Source organism: Homo sapiens, chromosome 1 (assembly GCF_000001405.40).
Source record: "Homo sapiens chromosome 1, GRCh38.p14 Primary Assembly".
Classification (NCBI taxonomy): domain Eukaryota; kingdom Metazoa; phylum Chordata; class Mammalia; order Primates; family Hominidae; genus Homo; species Homo sapiens.
In genome coordinates this window covers 44,321,379-44,338,334 of record NC_000001.11, presented here as the reverse complement: position 1 = coordinate 44,338,334, position 16,956 = coordinate 44,321,379, and the positions used below count along the sequence as shown (strand labels likewise).

The window sequence follows — 16,956 nt, the reverse complement described above, 5'->3', positions numbered from 1 at the left end:
TGACTTCAACCTTAGGAGGGACTTTGAGCCAGACCAGCCAGCTAAGCCACTCTCAAATTCCTGACTCACAGGAACTGTGAGGGATAACAAATGATTATTGATGTTTTAAGCCACAGGTTTTGGGATGATTTGTTATGCAGCATTAGATAACCTGAGCAAGTACCATTGTTGGTCTGTTGGAAAGGACAATTTCTTTGCTTGCTTTTTTTCATTAGTCACCAGCTGTGTTCAAAGACCTTTTAGCTTTTAAGTTAATGCTGCTAGGAGGCTTGGATTAGCTGCAGGTGATATTGAAGTATGTGGTGTTTGCTTTGAGGGAATGATTGGGGGCTGATGTAGCAGTTCATTGTAGTGTTGGTGCATTGAATATGTCTGGCTCTAGGACTGTAACTCTTCTCTATAGGGTTAGGTTATAGAGTGTGTGATGCATAGACATGTTGCTCTGGGAACAGCTTTCAATCGTAAGGAGGAGGGAGAGAAGGGGACCTCAGCATCGGGCACTTCGAAGGTAGGGAGGAGTGTGGTCCATTTAAAGATAAACTGGGTTTGTCTGTCATGGTTGGTTTTTTCAGGAAGGGATCTGTCTTCAAAATGGTAAATTATTTTACATAAAGCAGGTATGACAACCTCTAGTGTTCCCTTTCTCCTCTCCTCTTTCCTATACTCCCTTAATGCATTGGTCTGCCTTTGAGGCACTGGAATGAGGCCTACTGAGGGCTGGGAACCCAGGAGCTGGATAAGGAGAATATCCTAAAGGAAGGTCCTTTGGGTGTAAGGGAATGCAGCTTGGGAGCTACTCAAGCCACACTTACGTTCTCTGCCTCTGGCTCCTGCCTATACTGTAGTCTTCTTCCATGCCTCCCCAAACTACTGGATTTTCTCTGGTGTGGTGAGGGCAGCTGGTGCTTATGCTGGGAATTTTGGTTATTAAGATTCTCCCATGTTGGGAATTAGGGATCCAAATCTTAATATGTCATATTATTTCTTCTATTTCAGTCACTGGGTAAGCCCTAGTGGGACATGAGACTAAAATCTAACACATCTCTGTCACATATGATTCATCCCTCTTCTGATCCCTCATAATCGCTTGGCACCTCTGTTATGGCATTTACTGCTTTCTGGCATATGCTTATATATGTGTATTTTCTTACCTTTTCAGTTAGATTATAAACTCAGATAATTATGTAGCTCTGTTTTCTTGTCCTGCAGAGGGTCCTGCCAATATTCCTGAAGGTGAAGCCTGAATCATGTCTCAGTTTGGTCTGTCAATGTCACCTTTCATCTTTCTTTCAAGGGCTTTATTTTTACTTATTTATTTATCACAATGCTGAAGACATCATGCAGTACAGATTTAAACAGCTTGTATCACCAACTTCCTTCCCAGACTTAGGCACCAAGACCTTCCAGACCCAGGCTGAGTTAGGGCTTCACATTGTTTACCAGGGTCTGGGCCTGATTAAAGATTATCTCCAGAATCAATGAACCCTGATGATGTGATTCCAAGGGCACTTAAGGAATTGGCTGCCCTGGTTCATTATTAGCAAAGCATTAGCTGTTGCTTTAGAGAACTCGGGAAGAAGCATTTGCTGTCTTGCTTATCTTTAAAAGGAGAATACGAATGATCTTGGAAATTATAGACCCGTTAGTTTACTGTGATTCCAGAGAAGATACTTGACCTGATCGTCAGATAATCAATCAGCAAACAGCTAGAAGAGCGTGGGGCACTGAGTAATAACTTACATGGGTTTGTGAAGAAGAGCAAATCCTGTCAGATCAATCTTAACTTCTTGCTGTGACATAGTGATGGATTTGAGTGGATCTAGGGCAAGTGATAAATGTAATGCATCTTGACTTCATTAAACCTCTACAATGCTGTGATCAACAGTTGGGAAGGTGAGTTTGGGGCCAGACATCTGTGTTGGACTACCCATCAGACCACCTTCAGGAAAGGGACGGCAGGTTGAAACTTGTTAGTAGCAACTTAAAATCTCCCTTTTTTATGGGAGAGCTTTTTTAAGGTTTGCAGGTAGCAGGATCCTGATGGGATTCAGAGAAAGCCAAGAAGACGGATTGGAGAAGTTGTCAGTCCTAGATAGAATAGCATCCTTCCATTGAGGTCAACATAGGTCCGGTTCTTATTAGAGCCCCTGTGCTGTTTAGGTCTTCTGGTCAACAAGGGAAGTGGAGAAATTGGAAAAGCTCAGGAATTGGACCACAAATCATTAGAGGCACAAAAATAGAACTTAGAAAATAAATTGATTATAGTTTTGGTGACTGATTTCTTGTTCAGACTGAATAAATTCATCATGTGAGGAGTAATTATTCCAAGGAGTACGATAACAACTTGCTCTTGATTTTAATAGGGACAAAAAAGAAAGAAGTTTAAATGGAAGCAGGAAAGGTTGAGATTTGGGATGAGAATGAACTGCCAGAAGAGACAGCAAAAGGACCGGAATAAGGTATACACCTTAGATCAGCCTTCCTTAGTGCTGTCTCAGAACGGCTTGATGGCTGTCCATTTGACAGAGATTCTTTGATTCTTTTTTTTTTTTTTTTTTGAGATGGAGTTTCGCTCTTGTTGCCCAGGCTACAAGTTGCTCTTGTTGCCCAGGCTGGAGTGCAATGGTGTGATCTCGGCTCACCGCAACCTCTGCCTCAAGCAATTTTCCTGCCTCAGCTTCCCGAGTAGCCAGGATTACAGGCATGCGCCACCATGCCCAGCTAATTTTGTATTTTTAGTGGAGGTCGGCTTTCTCCATGTTGGTCAGGCTGGTCTTGAACTCCCCACCTCAGGTGATCCACCCGCCTCAGCCTCCCAAAGTTCTGGGATTACAGGCATGAGCCACTGCCCCCGGCCTGATTCTTTATGAGTAAGGTCTGCATGCCTCCTGGGAGTAGGGCTGGGCTTATGAATGAGAACCATCCAGGCTCCTCTCCTGACCAGCTCCCTTTTCTGTTTTTTGTTTGTTTTTTTTTTTTTGAGACAGAGTCTTGCTCCGTTGCCCAGGCTGGAGTGCAGTGTGTGATCACAGCTCAGTGCAGCCTCAACCTTCAGCCTCAACCTCCTGGGCTCAAGCGATCCTCCCATCTTAGCCTACCAAGTAGCTGGGACTATGGGTATGCTCCATCATGCCTGGCTAATTTTCTGTTTATTTTTTATAATGATGGGGTCTCACTATGTTGCCCAGGCTGGTTTCAAACTCCTGGGTTCAAATGATACTTCCACCTCGGCCTCCTAAAGTGCTCTGATTACAGGTGTGAGCCACCACAGCCAGCAGGAACTTTCAGTACTCAAGATCCTGCATGGTACACTTCTGTTTTTATGACAGTGTGTCATACCCCTTGAGTATATAGGAGGCAGAAACAGTTTTAGGCCATGGCCTATTTGGAGGCTTAATGTGGGGCTCTTTTATCTATCTTTGATTTCCAGAAGTTCCTGAGTTAGTTGAGTCAGCTTATTGGGACTATCTTAAAGGAATGCCATCACGAAAAACTAACAGGTGTAAGCCCTGTTGTACTTGGGTGAGTAACAGCATTGGTTATAAACATGGTAAAACATGATATTTTCCATTTGTCATCAGTTTTGCTGTTTATTTTTGTACTTTATTCAGCTAGGTGAAACTGGAGTGGTTGGCTTGCCAGTTACAGGCTTTGGTGTTCTGGTTTTTGCACTCATTTTATTTGTGTTACATGTTTTGATTCAGATTAACATGATAGGTATTGGTTGAATAGGAGACTTTTTCATTTGAAAACACTTTTTTCACTTAAATGTAATTTAGATGGTTTAAAATGTTTTAGAGGGTCCAAATTTCAGGAATGTGGCTCCTTTCTTGTTTTAGGAATTGTTTCCTGACATAGAAGCAGTTTTTTATCTGGTTTAGGAGAATTATGCCTCCTTTGTCCTCGCTAGCAGGAGTTCATTTTGCTCATTTTGGTGTGGATGTGCACCGAGTGATGGTTGTTGTGACCCTGAGGCCCAGAGAGCAGCCTGAAAGCTTTGGTGGGATCTTTAATTGTGCATCTTTAACCTTGGGGCAAGTTCACTCACCACCTCAGTGTTCAGAAGAGACCAAAGCAAATGTAAGTGAGGAAAATGAGGTATAGGCCACAGCACGTTGGGAGGAGGAGGTAACCTCAGCTGTCTGGATGACCAGGGAGGGAGGGTGCAGCACAGCTCTCCCCATCCGAGGAGCTGCCATCCTGGCGGCTACCCACTTTCCTCCCCAAGTCCTCTGGCCATCCGTCAGGCTCCTGCATAGTCTTTTTGTCTCTGCTCTGCAGCAGCCCTACTGACTGTTTGCCTTCTCATCTGTATTCAAGTGCCCATAACTTTGGAGAAAAATGACGTTTGGGGTTGAGGTTTCTAGTGTTTGGTCTTTGTCCACAGGAGCATTTTTTTCCTTTTTACGGAAACCTTGAAGAGAGTCCATCTGCATTTTGAGTTAGAACTATGAGTAAAGGAGTTTCTCGTTTCCAGACAATTGTCCAGGTGCTGTTATTTTTGAAGGATATGTGGGGAGGGTTGGTGGTAACAGAGATGGCTAATGTAGAAGAGATTCGGAGGGTTTCCGTGTGACCTAGAGTTGCCACATCATTACTAGTCTTTTGTGAAAGAGACATTTTGGAAAACTTTACAGGAAATTGGTTAAGATCCCTACAAAGCAAACTATATTGATTTCTTTCTCCTTCGTTCGAGGCTGAAAGGCAGGAATCCTCTTAACCCCACGTGCTGCCTCCCCGCCCTGCCCAACACATTGCTCTTTGCCCCATGTTTAGCTTCTTTCCTTCTCTCTGTTCTTGGTTCCTGCCGTGACTAAGTGGACAGAAAAGCAATTCCCTGGAGAAAGAACCCACCCTTCCCTTCCCATGTGCTTGTCCTGGTTGTAGCTCCTCCAGTGGGGAGGGATGGGGCCCAGGCCTTTTTCCTGGAGAGCCTAATCCTTGGATTGTGGTCCCTCTGTCTGTGGCCCCAGTCAGCATGTACTTTTTTCTGTACAGACAGGCGAAGGCGCTGACGCTATTCTTCTAAACTGGAAAATGAAATGCAAAACCGACGTTAATGTAACATTATGGTTGAGATTAAATGCACCAAAATCAGGAAATTCAAAGTTATGCTTCCCACAGCAACTATAACTTAGCCTCATCTGGCGTGTGTAGTATTTTGTGTTAGTGTGGATGGTGTTATATGTTAAGACATTAAAGTTAACACCATAAGCAGAGCACAAAATGCTTGAGGGGGCTGAGTTATGATGACTGTGTGAGCTGTAAGTGTTCTTGTACAGGCTCCCGACTCCTGGAATAATTTTTCCCCTGCCCATCAGAGCAATTATTGCCTTTCTTTCTAGTTATATCTCTACTTTAACACATCTCTTCTTTCAGGGTCACTATAAATGAATTCCTCTATTGATGGCCAGTGATGGTGGGAATGGGGTGGCCCACTAGGCCCCTTTGTCTTTTTTGTCACTGCCTCCATAAATGTGGTCCTTGCCCCTCCTCCTTCCAAAGCCATCTTCCTCCACAGGCTGCTGTTTCCTGGTGGTCCCTCATAAGGATGGGCCTCCGCCTGGCTCCCACTATGGCTCCTCACTAGTATTCCCGGAATGGGAACAAGCGTTTGCTGTGTCCGAGTCTTGGCTGTATTGCAACTTCACGTGAAAGCCGAAGGGCCTGTCTGTATTTGGAGCAGACATAGCAATGTAGAAGCAAAATATACATCTCGGGGAATGGAGCACTGATGCATGGTGGCCCTGGCTTGTGTGTTTGGCATAGCAGAGGCAGGATCGAAGCGGTTTATTTGCTCTATTCAGACTGCTTCTCCACCTTCCCCAGGGTTTATACCTTTAAGCTGCCATGGTGTGTAGCAGGCTGTGGAGTTGTCTGGGGGTGGGGCCAGGAACTTTCCTTGGGGAACACTGGGTCACTGGTAACAAAATCACCACATAATTTAGTGCAAATCAGGAAACATCCCCCCTAGCCTCTTATTATCCTGATGGCCTCCCCAGGGCTGAGATAGCTGTTGGAATGCAGATTTTTTTGGGCACTGGGCTAAGGTTGGTGGTGGGGAAGAGCTCTAAAGAATAGGGCCATTGATAAATGGTGAGTGAAATCAGGGACCGTAAAATAACAGTGACACTGAGCTGCCTTTTAAAGTTTTTGTTGGACATAAAAAAACCGCCTAAGTCAGCAAAGGAATGGGGAAGACCTCATTATAACCACCTTAGAGGCAATGAAAAGGCTTCTTTTTACTCTTTGGATAGTAACTTAAAGCTCTGTGTTAGATGCTAGGGGTATAAAGACAAGTAAGGAATGGTCCCTACCCTCAAGGAGCTCATAGTCAAGGAGGGCAGACATTTGTGTAACAACCATTAGGCTGTATGATAACCACCATGACATGGTAAGTACTTGGTACAGTGGGGGCACAAAGGATGGGAATGATCAACCCTGCTCACAGTGTGGGGGAGGGCTGCATAGTTTTCATGTTATAAGAAATTCAGGAGACCAGAAAGGGCCAAGTGGACCTGAGGCCATTCAGAACTGTTATAGCAGGAAGAGAAGAAGGGGTTCACACAGTAAGCCAGAATGAAATGGCCTAAGTCTGGAAAAACTGACCTTGATTACAGGCTTGTTTGTAGAAATATTGAAAATGAGGTAAAAGGAGAATAAAGACTTTGAACCTGGCAAGTATTTCACTGTTCAGTTAGTTGGATTATCTATATCAGTTTTACGCTGTTTCTCACATTCGAGCTAGAAGGTGTCATTGTGATGCTATAAGTGGAAGTACAAAGGCTAGAAGAGGCTTAAGAGCATTTTACCCAATAAAGTGTGGGTAAAAGGGGTGTGGGTGAAAGTGGATATGGTGTAAGCTAAGGCTCTGAGGTATTGTCAAGAAGGCTAAGGCTCTGAGGCATTATCAGGAGGCTGATACCTCAGCATAGCATTTGGGTGGGCTGCTAGGTCTCTAGGGAGAGTCAAAGGCTGGGGAATGACATGACGCCTCCCCTTCACCTTCCCCCTGCTTAAAAAAAAAAAAAAATTGGGAATTTGGATCTGGATCTGCTAGGACCTACCTTCAATAGACCAGGGAGGTTTAGACCCTTCAAAAAGATAAATAGCTGGCTGACTAACATTGAGATTAGTGTGGAAGGAATGACTGATGAAGAGGCAGGAAGGTCTGGGTAATGTGGAGATTGGTGGGATCAGAAGCGACTGGAGGGCATGGGGGTGGAGGCTGAGCTTCCTCTGAGCATTGGCAACAGGTACAGCCATAGAAAGCAAAGCCAGCAGGTTGGAAAGCGGGGACAGTGGGGGAAGTGAAATCCAAGAGTGTTTAGGTTAAGTCCATAGGCTTCACTTCTCCCTACCTCCATCCTGCCCTGCTTTTCCTCTCCCCTCTTGATTATATTTCTTTTGTAGACTGATCTCCATTGTTTGACATGAGGAAACTGATATCAGGAGACCCTTTCTGCATCTCTGTATCTCATTGGGAAAAAGGATCTTGCATCATTTTGATTAAGATGCCATTGGGATGATTATTTTTTATCCTCTTATCCTGGGTGTTCACGATACTTAAAAAACCCCCACATTCTTACATTTATGTGATGAGTTTTGAGCTCTAGCTGTGAAAATTGAGCCATAGCCTAAAAGCCTGAAACAAGAGTGTACCCACATTGACACCAGCTACCCCCACCCCCAGCAAAGGCTGGCAGGTCTGCAGCAGAAGGGTGAACAGGCTGGCACAGGCAGAAAAGCGTTTATATGTATTGATGCTCCTGCCACGGACAAAACCCTGTTAGGTGTTGGGAGAGTCAGAAAGGAAGTAAATCAGAAAGAAGAAATCTGGAGGGAGAGACAAACATCAGGGCAGCTTTTATTTGGATGTAGAGGTGCCTTGGGATAGGCTGCTGTTTGGGTCCTGTCCCTGCATGTAGTTGGCCAGTAAGGAGATCTGGAAGGCCTGTGGGTGGCAAAACAGGTCTGATACACAAGTGGCTCTACTTCTGTTGTAGTGTATAGTCAGTGTCTAGTCCTGGAAGGCCATTCCAGCCAAGGGCTGATCTGAGGGTTAGGTGCTGGCAGAGGCACTTATTTGGAGATGCCGACGTTGCTGAAAGTAAAGGAGTGTTCATACTCTACAATGGGGGTACAGTTGGGGAGCCGGAAAAGGAAATTTGAATGTATTACTGAGTGGAAAAGAAGAAACAGAAATAGATGTTATAAGCCAGAGTCCATGGGAATGGAAAGGAAGTTGTTCCAAGAGGTTAAAAATGTATGTTGGGAGACTGGTACGGATGCAGTACTTGAGAGAGATGCTAGTGGGTTGGACTAGGATGTTAGTTGGTTGGCGATGGTGAGAATGGGGAGAAGTTACATGTTGTAACCCTTAGGTGTGCTAGGAAGGAAACAGGCTTGAGAACCATGTTCTTATGTAGCTCATAACTCTTTTGGAGACTAGTGGCCTACTGAGGAGTCAGTGGTACTGAGGTTTGTTAAGGAGTGGCGCATGGAATCTATAGTTGTTGTAAATGGGGTACTCTGAGTAGAAGATCCGTATCAGGGAGAACATAACAGGCAGAGCTGTTATAGTTGAGTTCCTTAGTGGTAATGTGGGTAGTTATTCCTCTAGGACCTATTTGATGCATTGTTTGGCCATTGGCCTAGAGGAGGTAGGTAGTGATGGTTAGGTAGATAGGATAATAACTGGCTAGAAAGCTTGGAATCTTGCTCTCTAAAAGTGTGATAAAACTGAGAGCCATGATTTGAGATTGCATTGTCTGGAAATGCAGGGACATGTCTGCGTTGTTCACAACACTAGCGGCATTTTAAAGGCCAGCTGGTCAACTGAACGGGATTGGTAGTTACAGATGGGTGGGTAGGGCTGATGAGTGAGATGAAACATGGCATTTTGATCAGGTCTACTTTCACTGGAAAGGTAATGTGACTAGAGAAACAATGTCGGGGGCAGACCTGAAAGGAAATTCATGGTTGATGGTGTTGAATGTGGTGGCTGGTGAGGATAGCAAGGAGTCCCCAAGTAGGTGCCTTAGGATATGCAGGAATTCTGTGATCCTGCTCCAAATTTGTGGCCAGGGTTGGAGAGGCCTTTCTCAGGACCAGAGGCAGTTAGATAGACCAGATAAGCTCCTGGCTTGTGTCTGTAATGAGCGGTCTTCTCATAGGAGAGGTACCCAGTCCTGCTTTTTGGTTCATCTGGACAGAGGAAGGTTTTTTTCTGGAGGGCTGAGACAATAGTGTGCTGAGCACTCTGAGGGTAGCTGATGCCCTGGTCTTGACAGTATTCCTAAAGGAAGCAGGCACTGCCATGACAAGAAGACTTTTTGCTAGCTCCCTGACAGAGATGTGCCAGTCTACTCTGTGAAGTTCTTGGATGTGACAGGCCTGTTTTTCTGCCCTAGCTCTTGGCAGCAAGGAGGATGAAATGTCTGGTGATAAGAGCTAGCGATGGTTAGCAGACTTAGAGGGCTTGACTCGGGTGCTTAAAGTGGGTCAAGTAAGGGTTTGCTCTGAGAAGGGAGCTGAGAGCCATGGGCTCTGATTCTCATTTGGTCAGTACCTCAGCGATAAGGAGTTAGTCACATAAATGTTCTAGACTACACCTTTGCTGTTTAAATTGTGGTCTGAGAACCAGCAGCATCCTCATCACCTGGGAGCTTGTTAGAAATGCAGAATGTCATGCCGGCCCTACTGAAATAGAATATACTGAAATATAATCTGAATATACTAAATATACTGAAATAGAACCTGCAATCTGACACATTCCTCAGGTCATTTGAAGTCTGAGAAACACTGCTGTAGTCTGGACCAGCGGTTCTCAAACTTCAGACTTCAGCGAGCGTCAGAGTCACCTGGAGGGCTGTTAAAACCAAGGCTGTTGGCCCCATCCCCAGGGCTTCTGATTCTGAAAGGCAAGGGTGGAGGCCAGAAATTTGCATTTCTAACAAGTTCTCAAGTGATGGGACTGGTTTGACAACAGCTGACCCTCTTAGCTTTCTCATCTGCAAAACAGGGGAGTGATTCCTGCCTGCTTACGGAGATGTGGGATCATATGGGACAGTGTGTGAGAAATGTGTTCAGTGCATTGCGGGGGTGGGGGGCGGGTATCCGTTTGTGTATTGCTTGCTTACTAGTCAGTGAATTTTTAAAAATCTATTGTCATGCCAGCACAACTGTTTACCTTCCTGGCTGCTGGCCATCATTTGTGGGCAGAGAACAGGGAATCTATGAACCACCCCACAGGCATGCAGTATTCTGTGAAGAGATCAGCAGTCCCTGGGGCTATGGATGGGGATTATTGAGCAAGGCCTCCTGTAGCCCAGCCAGCTTCCCTGGCTCCTGGCCAAGTAGTCTGACCAGAATTCTCAGTCTGCCTGAGTGGGCCTGGTCCTGTCTTGATCACTTGTTACTCACCGCCATTTCTTCACCCCCAGCTAGTGTATCTTAAGGCAATATTTGAATTGGTTTGAAAAATGGTCTTTGTCTAACCAAGCCTCTGATTCATCTTGTGATCCTGAGCAAGACACATGCCTTTCCTCCACTTTGTTGGGTGACTGATGGAACAGGCTTTGGCTGCATGTGCCCAAGTCCCAGAATGTGGACTCTGGACCTTCAAAGTGAGGGAAGCTGAGGTAGACGCTGTTCTGATGAGAATCAGTAGAGCATAGTAGTTAAAAGCATAGATTCCAAAACTGGACTGTCTGGATTTGAGTCTTGACTACCTACTGGTAGTCTGACCTTGGGCAAGTTGCTTGCACTCTTTATGCCTCAGTTGCCTTATTGGCAAAGTGGGGTTAATAATAGTACCAATCTTATAGGACTGATGGGAGGATAAACTGAGTTAAACATATTAAGTGCTCAAAACAGTGTTTGATATGTAATGGCTTATAGGTATTAGCTCTTATTAGTAGAACTAGTACTAGTATTATTCTGATCCACAACCTCCTAATAAGCTGTTGAGATACAGCAGGTGACTGGGAGGCAGGCCCTGCTTCTCTGGGAAACACAGAGAGATCAGGCCCTCTTATCAACATACTGATAGAACCAGAGTACTATCCAGAGAGATTTTTTTGGGCTTGGCACCCTTCCATTTCTAGGCCCTTCCTTAGTGATGCCTCCAGGGGACCTCTCTAGCACATAACCTGAGATTTGTTTAAATTAATTTCATGACAAATGTGTGTCTACAGGTAGCTACAAACAAATCATTTGGTTGTTTGGTGCCCTTGAAGGGTCAGCTTCACAGAAGCCACTAATATCTGAAGTTATTTACAATTGAATATGTAAAAATGTTTGAACTGTGGCTGTTTCTGAGTCATGTACATACAGAGGGAGACACAGGTGTGCACACCTCAGGTGAGGATGTGGTTTCTAAGACTTGGTCTCCTTCATTTATTGGTATTATGTTTTTGAAAAATTCAGATTTCAATAAGGGTAAATTATAATTCACTTTGCACCCATACTCTCCTCAAATAAAGAATAGCAGTGTCTATTTTCAGCCTCTTTTCTATATTTTAATTGCTTTGGGGTCTATGGAGATGGGGAGAGGGGGACATGTAGGTGAAAAATCAGCCTTTTAAAGCTCCGATTTTTTACCCTTCCTTGTCCTGAAACTTCGAGCATCAGCTCTCATCTGTCAAAGTGTAAATCAGCAATTAAAACCCAAACAGCCAAATGCCAAAGATGACCCGAAGCACAAAGCAACTGACAAACAAGTCCGGACAAATCGACGGGTAATTTATAAGCTTTGCCCTAAAATCTAATTATTTGGCAATTCGAATTTGCAGCCAGCCAGGGCTTGGCAATAAATTTAACCCGCCATAAATTATTTAGGAGCAGACTGTGGTGTAAATCAAAACCACGAGTGTTTGTTTAAGAAATAAGCTCCTTGTGCATAAAATGTCTTTTTTTTTTCCAAGGGAGAAACTGTTATTGCAAACCATACCCCATTGCCCAGTGTAGCCCTCACTTCTCCCATCCAACTTACCCTCTTCCCTGTGGCCAGGAGGCTTCTTGATCCTTGGAGAAAGGGCCCGTCTTTGCATGAGACTTTTATCCAAAACTAAATATTTGGGTAAAACCCACATGTTTTCCAGGGACTGCATTTTCTACCTTGTGGTATGTGTTGCTTTTAGATTTTATCAAACCTTTCAGTGCAGGGACACACACTTTTTGGAATTTTCTTCCGAGGGTTGAAGGAATAGATTAGTTGTTTTGAAGGAAAGCCAGTTCCTTCTTCCTAGGTTGGGAGGGGGAAGCCATGAAAAATGATCTGCTCATTCTCTTATTTCAGATAGGACATAGAAACATCAGCTCAGGCAGAGGAGAATCTATGCTTAGGAAAAAAGGGCTAGAATGCTACTCTATTAAACCCTCTGGGCTGGGTGCAGTGGCTCTGGCCTGTAATCCCAGCACTTTGGGAGGCCAAGGCAGACAGATCTCTTGAGGCCAGGAGTTTGAGACCCACCTGGCCAACGTGGCAAAACCCTGTCTTTAGTAAAAACACAAAAATTAGCTGGGCATGGTAATCCCAGCTACTTGGGAGGCTGAGGCATGAGAATCACTTGAACCTGGGAGGCGGAGGTTGCAGTGAGCCGAGATCATGCCACCGTACTCCAGCCTGGGTGACAGAGCGAAATCCTGTCTCAAAAACAAACAAAAAAACAGAATTTATAAACCCTCTGTCCCAGTTTTATGAATCCCAACAGTCTAACCTGAGTGCCTTCTGCTTAAATCCTCTTGTTGTTATTCTATCTTCAAATTTATTTTTATTTCTGCAGACACTTCAGTTGGAGGGAGTTTGAATACCCCGAAAGCAACTTACACATTTATTTCTTGTAATCTACTGATCGTGGGTGTGAAATTTCATTTGAAATGCTGTTGCAGTTGTGTCCTCAGTTTATCAAGGAAATCATTGGGGGTTCCTAGCTGAGCAATTAGAGAGCAGCCAGGGGCCGGGCGTGGTGGCTCAAGCCTGTAATCCCAGCACTTTGGGAGACCGAGGCGTGCGGATCTTGAGGTCAGGAGTTTGAGACCAGCCTGGCCAATATGGTGAAACCCTGTCTCTACTAAAAATACAAAAATAGCCGGGTGTGGTCACGGGTGCCTGTAATCCCAGCTACTTGGGAGGCTGAGGCAGGAGAATTGCTTGAACCCGGGAGGCGGAGGTTACATTGAGCCGGAGATTGTGCCATTGCACTCCAGCCTGAGTGACAGAGTGAGACTCCGACTCAAAAAAAAAAAAAAAAAAAGCTGTGTTTAAAATCTCTGCTCCAACCCATTTTACAAGGTAGATGAATGCTTGTTTGGTGCTTCATTTTTATTTCTGTCTTCTCTCTCCTCAACAAAAGATCTACAGGGACAATATTGAGGGAGACAGTAGGTACAATAGGTTTGGAACCTTGGATATTTGAAAAATCCCAATTCTGAGGCTTTTGTTCTTAGCTGTTAAGTTATGGCCAGTTTTCATCCACCGTTGGCAGACAGCCCAGTGCTGTAGGTAGTTTGTGAATGGTGTTTCAGTGTTAGCATTGAAAGTCCATGTTGGCCGGGCGCGGTGGCTCACGCCTGTAATCCCAACACTTTGGGAGGCTGAAGCGGGTGGATCACGAGGTCAGGAGATTGAGACCATCCTGGCTAACACGGTGAAACTCTGTCTCTACTAAATGCACAAAAAAATTAGCCGGATGTGGTGGCGGGCTCCTGTAGTCCCAGCTACTCGGGAGGCTGAGGCAGGAGAATGGCGTGAACCCGGGAGGCAGAGCTTGCAGTGAGCCAAGATCTCGCCACTGCAACCCAGCCTGGGCGACAGAGCGAGACTCCGTCTCAAAAAAAAAAAAAAAAAAAAAAAGAGTCTATGTTGCAGGAAACCCTTGGTCCTGATCAACCAAACAGTTGATTACCCTAGGTAAGACTGGGATTTGGTGGTTTATAGTAGTTCAGGGAGGAAACCACTCAGAGATGAGAGTAGATCTAGTAGAAAGTGCTTTGAACTGTGAAATATCTGAGTTTGAATCCTGGCTGTACCACTGACCATCTTTGACATCTTAGGCAGATCATTTCCCCTCTCTGATTCTGCGGAGAGTTTTGTGTCTTCTGGTACAGCTAGGCCTTTGGCTTGTCTCCTCCACTTAGCAGCCCTTTCATGTGATTACACAACAAAAGTTGAGAGAGTGAAGCCTGTGTGCCAGCATAGGAATTAGGTGCTGGAGATCACACTGAAGGCACATGGTTCCTGCCTTCCCTGATGCCATCTGTGCCATCTGTGTTACTGCAGCCATGGTGGAGTCTTTTCAGTAGCAAACTCTAGAACTTTTCTGCCTGGAGAGTCCACATTCATTGCTCTTAAAATTTGAGAGCAGCCTCTCTTTCTAGATGGTAGACTTGAGTTCTCTACAGGATAGCCTTTTAGACTAAGAGAACCAGATCTTTCTTGACCCTTCATATTTTGAAAGCTGCTAGTCCTACTCTTAAGTCTCATTCTCATTTTCCCATTTTGGAGTTCCAGCTCTGTCCCTCACAAGCAGTGTAAGTGTCAGCAAGTGAGTTAACATCTTTGGGCCTTAGTTTATTTGTGAAATAGGGATGACTATGATTCCCACCTCATGAGTTAGGAGGATTAAATGAGATCATTCCTATTAGCACAGTATCTGCCACGTAGTAAACAATAAATGGAATAAAACGATTGCATTTTCCACATGTCTTGGAGAGCACTGGAGGCCAGCTCCTCTTCACCCTTTGCCCAGACTTGAGCATCTCAGAGAGAGGAGCCACCTTTCATTGTATTCATCTCTGTGTCTACAGCCAGCCCCTGCCTGGTGAATAGTAGATGCTTAATAGTATTGATTTATGACCTGAAGATGGTGATGGTGATGATGATGTAACCTGTCTGCCAGGATTAAGGAGGGTAAAATAAGAAAATGTATGTGAAACTACACTTTTGTGAATGGAAAAACAACACTGTGTACGTCCCTCCACTAAGGTATTTATCACAGTGTACTGTTCTTTGTTTGCCTATCTTTTCCACTCATAGTCCATGTGCTTCTCCAAAGTGGAGACTACATCTTATCTCTAGTCCTGCTCCAGCCCCTGTCTGATAGCCTACACAAAGTAGGCACTCAGGTAGTTTAATTGAATGCAAATGGCATACAAAGGCAAAGAATTGTAAAGCTATTATTAGGATAGGGAAAGAGGGCTGGTAAATACGACTGGTCCTTCCTTCCTTCCTGGTGCTACTTTTACACAAAACTGTTTCTGAAATAAACCTCTTCCTAGGGGAATGATGAAATTGGCTGAGAGAAAAGGTCAGGGTCAGGAATAACAGTTTCATTATCTGAGCAACTGGACATAGAGGCTGGCACTTGGGCACATTGTCACAAATCTTTGTGTTGGGATTAATGCCACTAACCTGTAGTGTTGGGGTTCCATCTCTGATCATTATCAGCTAAAAATCTTCAAAATGTTTGTCATGCTTCAGGTGCCCTGGCTGCAGAGTTGTGCCAACTTGGTGCAGATTGGGGCACCTCTCCCACTACTGGGCTGTTTGGGCCAGTATTTTGAGGTTCTGGGAAGTATGGAAGTACTGGCTGGGCAATATGGGATGGTAAGAAGTACCTCAGTGAGGTCCTTGCTGCTCTAATTTCTCAGAGAGTCTTTTCTCAGAAGCTTCTCTTTTGCATCCTCAGTAGCTCAAGTGAATATGCCAGTGTGTAGGCTCATTGTTAATAACAGCTCCTCATGTTGTGGAGGAAGGGCCCCTGCAAAGTCACGTTTTGAGACTGGTGCTTGAAACCACCTCTTCTTGGTCTTGGGGAGAAGGCTTGGCTGATGAGCTAGCATTATCAGAGATATGTTTATAATAGGCCCAATTTGATGTGTCCTGAGCCTTGGGTGTAGGCACCCTGGGAATTTCAGGGGCCTACCCCCCTCCTTTTTTTTTTTTTTGCGTGGATCCGAGTCTGGCTTGTTCTTCCTCTCTGGGAGCATGGCACTGAGTTTCAGCACGTAGTTGGCCCCATTTCCCTATGGGTGAGGAAGCTAACATCAGGAAAGTTTGAATATTGAGCTACAGTATTTGCTGTTATTTGCTGCAATGCGGAAACCCAAAGGCCAAGTTTCCAGAGAGTCTGCTGGGGATGTTGACTTGGTGCTGGTCAGAGTGGAAGCTGAAGCACATACTATTTTATAATAAATACTAATGAAATCCTAGATCTATAATAGCATTTCGGATATCTAAAACAAACCATGTGCTTGTAAAAAAGTGGAAAGAGATCAACTTTAAGCCATAAATTCTTGGTAATAGAGGGTTTTTTTCTATTAATGTTTGATAGATATTTTTATTTCCAGAGGAATGTCAACTCCTAATTTCATAATGTATCATGGGCTTAAGAAAATTGAATTTAATAAAAAGCCAAAGATGAATGGCATCCTTAAAGGTCCCAACACTTGTCTTTATTAGCAGGACAAACTGTAGGTCTCCAAACACTGCTGCTCTCCAAATGAAAGTTTAAATGAAAAGTACAGTTGTGTCACAGGTTAAATTTCATTGTGGGCCCAGCTAACATTGTTAGTGAGGAGCTGGCTGTATTTGTTTCCTTAGACACCAGGGCAGCCATACTCACCAGGCTATAGAGCTCTTTCTGTTGAGGAAGTGTTTCTTCTACTTAGGGGAAGAGGAAGGACACATCGGAAAAATCAGGAGTCAGATGAGCCTGATTCATGGGCAACACCTCAGAGTTGGCTCTTGGAATCCTGGATACCTGATTTTGCAGGGGGACCAATGTGTATTTTTTTGGTGTGTGTTCGATTTTGTTATTCAGTTCCAAACCCCCATTTACTCTGTATGTAATGCTTCTTGGGGAACAGAAGGTCCAGGGAATTGGGAAATGAGTGTCCCCCTCTCTTCACCTTGGAAGGAGAGGTATTACCTGGTCTAAGCAGCAGTCTGGG

At 44.6% G+C, this 16,956-nt stretch overlaps 1 protein-coding gene across 16 annotated transcripts in view; it reads left to right on the top strand.

Annotated features, from left to right (window-relative positions):
• The window catches only part of ERI3 (ERI1 exoribonuclease family member 3), a 134,210-nt gene that overhangs the window by 16,945 nt on the left and 100,309 nt on the right, over positions 1-16,956 (top strand). The gene's annotated exons all lie outside the window — the stretch shown is intronic.